Source organism: Homo sapiens, chromosome 9 (assembly GCF_000001405.40).
Source record: "Homo sapiens chromosome 9, GRCh38.p14 Primary Assembly".
NCBI lineage: Eukaryota > Metazoa > Chordata > Mammalia > Primates > Hominidae > Homo > Homo sapiens.
The window spans coordinates 65,536,132-65,546,567 of NC_000009.12; the positions used below are offsets into that span (position 1 = coordinate 65,536,132).

At 44.4% G+C, this 10,436-nt stretch overlaps 1 long non-coding RNA gene across 1 annotated transcript in view; it reads right to left on the minus strand.

Moving 5' to 3' along the window:
* The window catches only part of LOC124902170 (uncharacterized), a 42,854-nt gene extending 32,637 nt beyond the window's left edge, over positions 1–10,217 (minus strand). Inside the window, exons 1-2 of the long non-coding RNA XR_007061552.1 lie at positions 9,960–10,217; positions 4,267–4,406 (exon numbers count right to left, since the gene is read on the minus strand). This is a non-coding gene — a long non-coding RNA (uncharacterized LOC124902170). The remainder of the gene's footprint in view (positions 1–4,266; positions 4,407–9,959) is intronic.
* Positions 10,218–10,436: the final 219 nt, after the last annotated feature.

A 10,436-nucleotide genomic window follows, 5' to 3' on the forward strand; every position in this document is an offset into this window, starting at 1 on the left:
ATATACTGCCATAATAACCCACAAGGTCAAAGTTGAGTGTAGAATTCTCTGATTTCTTGGTGCTCTGCACAGGAATGTGGTAGTAAAGGGAGAGCCGATCATCAGCCCCAGGCTAAACTTTTTTCTTTCATCGTAGGTAGCCCTGTCCTCACTTGAGAAGCTTTGCATACCCTTGTGTGGGGAACTCCCTAGGCCCCATGCAAGCTCCATCCACAATTCTCACCCCTTCAGAAAGCAGATCCTTGGGCACCATTTGGACAAGCACAGTTTGCACTTTGAAATGGACCCAGGGAAGAGGCCATGCAGGCTCAGGCACATTTCGCCAGGTCCCTGAGTGCCCAGCGTGTGCCCTAGAAGAGAGGGTGAAGCTCTGAGTGGGCAAGGGTACAGTCAGTGGAGGGCCAGAGAGGCACCTTCTCAAGTGCAGGATTCAGGGCAGGGGTCCTCTTGCCCAGATCGATGGCTATGATTGCTTAGTTAAATGGCGCCTGCGTCATGTTTTCTCAGCTCACCTTTCATTCAGTCTCAGCCACCGTGAGAAGTTCCATGGAAGCACAGGCTTCTCTTGTGCTGCCAGCAAACTCAAGGTACACTTTCTGCCCTAGGGAATCTCCATTATTGTAGGATTTTGCCTGAGCACAAATACAGCCCAGAAACACTTGCAGGTTAACAGCCTCAGGGGAAGACCTCAACCAGTGTGGGACAGGTGGACAAATGCTCCAGGCTCATGTTTCAGGTGGACATTTCTGGATAACTTTCTGGAGCCTCTCGGAAGGTCCTGCAGAAAAAACTGCACGGCAGGAGCCTCAATAGCATGCCATTATTTTGGCTTTTCTTTCTTGCCTGGCTCACTCTTCCCACTTCTGACTCTTGCTTCTTGGAATCACTTTCCAAATAAACCACCCACACCGAAGTCCTTACTCCAGCTCTGCTTCTAGGGATACAGGCACACCTTGGAGATATTGCAGGTTTGGTTCTAGGTAACACAATAAGGTGAATGTCACAACAGCGCAAGTCACACGAAATTTTTTGCAAGTCACACGAAATTTTTTGCTTTCTGGTGCATATAAATGTTATGTTGCCAGGCATGGTGGCTCACGCCTGTAATCCCAGCACACTGGGAGGCCGAGGTGGGTGCATCACCTGAGGTCAGAAGTTCAAGACCAGCCTGGCCAACATGGCGAAACCCTGTGTCTACCGGAAATACAAAAATGGTGGTGCGCACCTGTAGTCCCAGCTACTCAGGAGGCTGAGGCAGGAGAATTGTTTGAACCTGGGAGGCAGAGTTTGCAATGAGCCAAGATTGCACCACTGCACTCCAACCTGGGCAACAGAGCCAGACTCCATCTCAAAAAAAAAGTTATGTTTAAGTTACTGTAGTCAATTAAGTGTGCAATAGCATTATGTCTAAAATATAATGTATATACCTTACTTTGAAAATACATGATTGCCAAAAAATGCTAACCATCATCTGGGCCTTCAGTAAGTCATTATCATTTTGCTGCTGGATGGTCTTGTCTCAATGTTGATAGCTAGTGACGGATCGAGGTGGTGGTTGCTGAGGGCTGGAGAGGGAGTGGCAATTTCTTAAAATAAGATGACAATGAAGTTTACCGCATTGACTGATTCTTCCTTTCAGAAAAGATTTCACTGTAGCATGCTACGCAGTTTGGTAGCATTTTACCTACAGTAGAATTTATATCAAAATTGGAACCAATTCTCTCAAACCCTGCCACTCTTTTATCAACTAAGTTTATGGGATATTCTAAGTCCTTTGTTGTTCTTTCCACAATGTTCACAGCATTTTCACCAGGAGTAGATTCCATCGCAAGAAACCACTTTCTTTCCTCATTCATAACAAGCAACAATAATATATTATTTTATATATATTATATATGTATTATTATATAATATAAATTATATATTATATAACATTATATAATAATATATAATATTATATATTGCATATTATTATATTAATTATATTATATAATATTATATATTGTATATTATTATATTAATTATATTATATTATATATTTTATCATAATATAATATGTATTATAATATTATATATTATATAAGCAGAAATGATATCCCTTGGTTTTTAAAGATAATACAAAGTGGATTTTAGTAACAATCTTGAGTTGTCACAGAAGCTAAGGAAGTTGGGGATTCCATGAAGCCATCCAAGCATATAAAGCCCATTTCCCTGGGTCCCTTTTCCTTAGCTCAAGGCCACAAAAAATCAGAACATGAATTCCAGCCCACATTTGCATTATGTCTAAATAATTATGAGTTATAAATGAAGCTAACAAATAGTTAAATATGTTCTATTCTCCTACTTTGATAAATATTCACAGTATATTATGATAAATGTATTGCCATAATAACCCACAAGGTCAAAGTCGAGTGTAGAATTCTCTGATTCCTTGGTGCGCTGCACGCGAATGTCGTAGTAAAGGGAGAGCCGATTCTGAGCCCCAGACTAAACTTTTTTCCATCTAATTCCATTTATTTCCATTAAGATTGCAGCAATTTGGCCGGGTGCGGTGGTTTATGCCTGTAATCCCAGCACTTTGGGAGGCTGAGGCAGATGGATTATCTGCAGTTGGGAGTTTGAGACCACCCTAACCAACATGGTGAAACTCCTTGTCTACTAAAAATACAAAATTAGCCGGATGCAGTGGCACATGCCTATAATGCCAGCTACTCAGGAGGCTGAGGCAGGAGAATCAATTGAACCCAGGAGGCGGAGGTTGTGGTGAGCAGAGATTGCACCATTGCACTCCAGCCTGGACAACAAAGCAAAACTCCATCTCAAAAAAAAAAAAAAAAAAAAAAGATTGCAGCAATTCACTCACATCTTCAGGCTCCACTTGTAATTCTAGTTTTCTTGCTATCTTCACCACAACTGTGGTTACTTCCTCTGCTAAGGTCTTGAACCCCTCAAAGTCATTTATGAGGGTCAGAATCAACTTCTTCCAGACTCCTATTAATGCTGCTATTTTTACCTCCTCTGGTGAATCATGAATATTCTTAGTGGCATCTATCATAGTGAATCCTTTCCAGAAGGTTTTGAATTGACTTTGCCCAGATCCATCAAAGGAATCATGACCTGTGGCAGTAACAGCCTTATGAAATATATTTCTCAAATAATAAGACTTGAAAGTCAAAATGATGCCTCAATCCATGGACTACAGAATAGATGTTGTGTTGGCAGGCATGAAACCAGCATGCATTTCCCTGTACATCTCCATTAGAGCTTTTTAGTCACCAGGTACACTGTCAAAAAGCTGAAGTATTTGAAATCAATCTTTTTTTCTGAGCTGTAGGTCTCAACAGTGGGATTAAAATACTCAGTAACCCATGCAGTAAACAGCTCTGATATCATCCAAGTGTTGTTGTTCCATTTATAGAGCTTGGGTAGTGTAGATTTAGCATAATTCTTAAGAGGTGCCCTAGGATTTATGGAATAGCAAATGAGCATTGGCTTGTAACAAGAAAGTCAGCCTGTCCTTTAAATCTTTTTCTTTTTCTTGATATAAGGTCTCACTCCATTACCCAAGCTGGATTGCAGTGGCATGATCTTGGCCCACTCCATACTTGACCTCCTTGGCCCCACAATCCTCCCACCTCAGCCTCCTGAGTAGCTGGGACTAGTAGCATGCACCACCATACATGGCTTATTTTTATTTATTTATTTATTTATTGTTAGAGACAGGGTTTCACCATGTTGCCCAGGCTGGTCTGAAGCTTCTAAGCTCAAGCCATTCCCCCACTTCAGCCTCACAGAGTGCTGGGATTACAGGCGTGATCCACCCTGTCTGGCCTCTAAATTCGTGTTATGGAGACTCATTTTCATGGTTAAAATGTCCTGAATTGACTGTGGCCTGTTGGGAGGTGGGATGGAGGAAACTACTTATGGAAAATGAAGAAGAAAGGGAAGCACACCAGAAGCAAGAAAGTGTCATCAATTTTTACATCAAGGCCTCCATGATAAAGAGAAAGTACAGGTGGCCTGTTATCAAGGCTGACCATTGGACTGTGGACTGCACCTGCATCTACCAGGTTCTTCTGGATAGTCCCAGTTTTAAATTTTTGACCTGACATTCATGAACACAGTGCTACTGGTCAGACCTTTGTCCAGGTTTAAGCTTCAGAACATAATGTCTTCATGCAGTGGGAGGCCTGATTATGGTTATGATTCTGCCCTGGGGCATCTGCCCCTTCTTACCTGGAGGTAAACTTGGCATCTACTACTTACCTCTACACTTGAACAGCCAAGGATGGGCTGAGCACAGAGGCTCACATCTGTAACTCCAGCACTTTGGGAGGCCAAGGCAGGAGGATCGCTTAAGGCCAGGAGTTCAAGACCAGCCTGGGCAATATAGTGAGACCTCGTCTCTGTAAAAACAAACAAACAAAACCGAGGATGGGTGGGTGACAGGGAGCAGTTCAACATCGGAAACCATAAATCTGAGAGGTGGAAGGACCCTTAGACCAGCCCCACATTAACAGATGAGACTCTGCCCTGAGATTATAGCCTAAGGTAATGCATTGAGCTTTTCTAGAGACTTGAAAATAATCAATCCTAAAACCCCCAAGCATACTGCTACTGTTTGCTATTGAATAATGTTTTCTAGTCTGGGTGTGGTGGCTCCTGCCTGTAATTCCAACACTTTGGAAGGTCGAGGCAAGTGGATCACCTAAGGTCAGGAGTTCGAGACCAGCCTGGCCAACATTGTGAATCCCTGTCTCTACAAAAATACAAAAAATTAGCAGGCCATCGTGGTGTGCACTGGTAATCCCAGCTGCTTGGGAGGCTGAGGCAGGAGAATCCTTTGAACCTGGGAGGCAGAGGTTGCAGTAAGCCGAGATCACACCATTGCACTCCAGCCTGGGCTACAAAAGTCAAATTCCATCTCAAAAATAATAATGATAATAATAATGTTTTCTACAAGCAAGGAGTTACTTTGTACTGTGAACTGGTGTGAAGGGATCTGCCATGTGTAAGCTTTTGGATTGAAGACAGTTATTTCTAATTTTAAAAATAGCAACCCAACAGAAAATTGGGAAAATGCATTCATAGGGATTTCACAAAAGAGAAAGCCTGCAAAACATAAAAATTTTCTCAACCTCATTAGTAATCAGGGAAATGCACAAGATACTACACATCTATTCTCTCCACAAATATTAAGAAGTTTGACAATACAAAATGTATTAGTCCATATTCACACTGCTGATAAAGACATAACTGAGACAGGGAAGAAAAAGAGGCTTGATTGCATTAAGGGTTCCACATGGCTGAGGAGGCCTCAGAGTTACGGTGGTGGATGAACAGCACTTCTTACATGGCAGTGGCAAGAGAATATGAGAAGGAGGCAAAAGAAGCAAAAGACAAAACCACTGATAAACCCATCAGATCTTGTGAGATTTATTCACTATCACGAGAATAGCATGGGAAAGACCAGCTCTAAAGATTCAACTACCTCCCCCTTGTTCCCTCCCCGAACACATGGGAATCCTGAGCAATACAATTCAAGTTGAGATGTGGGTAGGGACATAGTCAAACCATATTATTCTGCTCCTGACCCCTCCAAATCTCATGTCCTCACACTTCAAAACCGATCATGCCTTCCCAACAGTCCCCCAAAGTCTTAACTCATTTCAGTATTAACCCAAATGTCCACTGTCCAAAGTCTCATCTGAGACAAGGCAAGTCTCTTCTGCCTATGACCCTGTAAAATCCAAATCAAGCTAGTTACTTCCTAGATACAATGGGGGTACAGGTAATTGAGTAAATGCAGCCGTTCCAAATGGGAGAAATTTGCCAAAACAAAGGGGTTACAGGCCCCATGCAAGTCCAAAATCCAGCAAGGTAGTCAAATTTTAAAGCTCCGAAATGATCTCCTTTGACTCCATGTTTCACATCAAGGTCATGCTGATCTAAGAGGTGGGCTCCCACAGCCTTGGGCAGTTCTGCCCCTGTGGCTTTGCAGGGTATAGCCCACCTCGTGGCTGTTTTCATGGGCTGACGTTGAGTGTCCACAGCTTTTCCAGGCTCATGGTGCAAGCTGTCAGTGAATCTACCATTCTGGGGTCTGGAGGAGAGTGGCCCTCTCCTCACAGCTCCACTAGGAAGTGCCCCAGTAAGGACTCTGCATAGGGGCTCTGACCCCACATTTCTCTTCTGCACAGCCCTAACAGAGGTTCTCCATCAGAGCACCACCCCTGCAGCAAACTTCTGCTTGGACATCCAGGTGTTTTCAAACATCCTCTGAAATCTAGGTGGAGGTTTCCAAACTTCAGTTCTTGACTTCTATGCATGTGCAGGCTGAACACAACATGGAAGCTGCCAAGGCTTGGTGCTTGCACTCTCAAGGCCATGGCCTGAGTTCTATGTTTTCCTCTTTCAGCCATGGTTGGAGGGGCTGAAACGCAGAGAAACAAGGCCCTAGGCTACACACAGCACAGTCAACCTGGCCCAGCATGGAAATCCATTTTATCCTCCTAGGTCCCAGGCTTGTGATGGGAGGGGCTGCTGTGATGACCTATGACATGTCCTGTAGACATTTTCCCCATTGTTTTTGGGATTAACATTCAGCTTCTTGTTACTTATGCAAATTTCTGCAGACAGCTTGAATTTATCCTCAGAAAATGGGATTTTCTTCTCTATCACATTGTCAGGCTGCAAATTTTCCAAAACTGTATGCTCTGCTTCCTTTATAAAACCAAAGGCCTTTAACATCACCCAAGTCACCTCTTGAATGCTTTACTGCTTAGAAATTTCTTCCAGCAGATACCCTAAATTATCACTCTCAAGTTCAAAGTTCTACAAATCTCTAGGACAGGGGCAAAATGCTGCCATTCTCTTTGCTAAAACATAACGAGAGTTACCTTTGCTCCAGTTCACAACAAGTTCCTCATCTCCATCTGAGACCACCTCTGCCTGGACCTTATTGTTCAAAACACTATCAGCATTTTTGTCAAAGTCATTCAGCAAGTCTCTAGGAGGTTCCAAATTTTCCCACATTTTCCAGTGTTCTTCTGAGCCCTCGCAACTGTTCCAACCTCTGCCTGTTACCAAGTTTCAAAGTTGCTTGCACACTTTTGGGTATCTTTTCAGGAGCACCCCACTCCACTGGTATCAATTTACTGTATTAGTCTGTTTTCACACTGCTGATAAAGACATACCCAAGTCTGAGAAGAAAAAGAGGTGTAAAGAAAAAGAACTGTAATTGGATTTACAGTCCCACATGGTGGGGGAGGCCTCAGAGTCATGGCAGGAGGTAAAAGGCACTTCTTACATGGCAGCAGCAAGAGAAAATGAGGAGGAAGCCAAAGCAGAAACTCCTGATAAACCCATCAGATCTCATGAGACTTATTCACTATCATGAGAATAGCACAGGAAAGACTGGCCTCCGTGATTCAATTACCGCACCCTGGGTCCCTCCCATAACATGTGGGAATTCTGGGAGATAGAATTCAAGCTGTGATTTGGGTGTGGACACAGCCAAACCATATCACCATATATGGAGAGACTGTGGATCAACAAGATCATCTCGAACTAATACAGGAGGTGAGCGTTTAAATTAGAACAACCACTTTGGAAAGCAATTTGGATTATCTTATAAATTTGAGCATTCTCATATGTTATGGCAAAGTAATTTCTCTACCACAGGCCCTGGAGAAACTCTTGCCCATATGTACAAGATGTAGTAAAAAAAAAAAAATGCTCACGTAATGCCATTCATAATAGGAAAAATCTGGAAATAAGCCAAATGTTCACTAATAGGAGAATGGGTAAATTAATAGGAGAATGGGTAAATAAATTATACCCTTAAAAACTAAGTAACATGTCATTTAGGGTAATCATATGTATGCAATAAAACAATGTGTTTTTTTTTAAAGGAAGAGAATCCTAAACATAAATTCAGGGTAGTAGTTACCCTCGGGCTGAAGGGTGAAAATCAGGAAAAAGGACAGAGGAGGAGCAGATGTTAGGGTCAGAACCCTAGTTCTTTGGTTGTGTTGTAAGTTGACAAGTGATTACCATATTGTTCAAATACATTTACACAGAGGCCCAGGCACAGACAAGGGTGAAATAGGAGCCAAGGTGTACTATGAGCCAAGGATTATGATTAATCCAATTTTGTGCACTTAAGCCATTTGAAAAACAGAAAAGCAAAACAACAAAATAATTTTTAAGAAATTGAATATAGGGTGCTATGCTCTGAATGTGTCCCCCTAAAATTAATCACCAATGTCATAGGATTAGGAAGTAGGGCTTTTAGGTAGTGATTCAGTCATGAAGGGAGAGTCTTCACAAATGGGTGTAGGATCCTTACACAAGGACTGGAGGGAGTGGGCTTCCCCTGTTTTACCCTTCCGCCTTCTGCCATGTGAGGACACAGTGCCTCTCCTCCTGAAGACACAGTGCACAAGGTACCATCTTGGATGCAGAGACCAGGCCCTCACCAGACACCAATCCTGCTGGCACCTGGATCTTGGACTTCTAGCCTATGGAACTGTGAGAAATACATTTCTGTTCTTCAGAAATTACCCAGCCTAGTGTATTTTCTTATATAGAAGCACAAACTCATTAAGGCACAATGCCTCTTGTCATTTTCTTCTACAATTTTCTTTGTGGCCTCTTTAGCACTGGGTCATTTTATATTTGCTCCTTCATAATATCTCTTACTTTTGGTTTTTCACATTTCTGTTCCAAGTGTATTCTTAGATACATATTTTCCACTATTAGTTAACCTCAGGGGTTGCCTGGGAATGCGTGTTTCTGTGCCACCACTGTAGGACTGTGTGTGTGTGTGTGTCTCCCATTCTCTCTTCTCTCTCTGTCTCTCACCCTCTGTGTGTTTCTTTCCCTCTCTCTGTTTGTCTGTGTGTGTGTGTGTGTGTGTGTGTGTGTGTGTATGCCTGTGTGTGTGTGTGTCTTTGGACGAATGTGCTCTGTTTGCCAAAATGCGATTTTTTGCATGTCGGCCAGTCTTTGTTGAGCCTCTTTCTGTGTCTCTGTCTGGGTCCCGTGGCCGGTTGTCCATCGTTTTCATGGCGGTTCCACTCTGGGTTTGTGAAGTCCTCGATCACGTGAGGAGATGCGTCGGTCCCGGAGCAATCGAAGTCTCATCCCTATCCTGAGCGGCCTCTTTTCTAGGATCAAGAGGACCACACTCCAACCCAGGACAAAACCCCACAGCAGCTCATTGTCCGGCAGGAGAGGAGCAGACACACCTCCAAGAAGATGGTTGTACCCCTGCACGGCTCTTCTCTGAGCAATGAAGCCACACCACGATACAATTCTGAAGAGGAAGCCGGGAATGGGAGACAGCAACAATCCCTGTCCCTGGAATGCTGGCCTCTCTGGACAAGTCATGCGTTTCGCACCCCTCCCCTTATGCCTGTGGCGGTGGCAAGGTTCTGTAACCTGCCTGGGCTCTGGCCTGTGCTCTGTCCTCCCTCTTGCTCTGTCTCCCCTGTTTCTGAGGGGCCTAGTTGCCTCTTGGTCTGGCTGAATAACTTCTACGAAGATCGCTTCCCAGTCCATCAGGGAGACACTTTCTGGAGATCCGCGACATGACTCTTTCTCTCTCCAAACCTGTTTCTGCTGGATTGGGCAGGTCTGATAAGCCTGGAACACTTGGCTTCCATGCGTGTCTCAGACAGGGAAGCTTCTTTGGTCTCCTTGTTTCACCTCATCGGTGGGTGGATTGCCTAGAATGAGCGCTAGGTTATCATGACTGGCCTTGTCTTCTAAGACAGGTGGTGTCCCATTTCCTTTGCATGTCCTGTCTCACAAATGAGGGATATCCTCTCCTCTGCTCATAGGTGGACTGATTCCCTGAATCTTTTGTCTGTAATGAATGTCAGGAAACCAAAGGAACTGGGCTGGGCCTGGGGATGGGGTTGGGGCCGGGTGCAGGGAAGTTGCGTCAGGGCTACCTGGGCGGTGGAGGCTTCGGGGTGGGGTGAATGTTGCAGAAACCTCTGTGCTCCTCTGGCAGGCATTTCAAAATGTGGCTTGGACTGAGGCAAAGGCCCCGTCCAGGTTCCCAGGTCTTCTTTGAATTCCCTTGGCACTCAGGGAAAGGCCACTTGTTCCCCCTTTCCACCGGGCACATGCCTGGACACCATTGTTGGTTTTGCCATCACCCCATATGCCTCCGGTGACACACATTCACACCATCTGCTGTGGGATACGCCAGTGCCACACGTGATCGCATTGTCTCCACCTCGGCTTCGCACCATCCCTGTTTGCACCTGTCCTGGAAAGCGGTGTCCACTTGCAGGAGCCCCAGGGCTTTTAGAAGTGGGGCACGCCACTGCTCTTTCAACGGAGGAGGGAGGCAGAGGGCTCACAGATCAGTGAACTTTCAGCTGACACCACGCCTTGAGGGCCATGGGATCATTCTGTGCTGC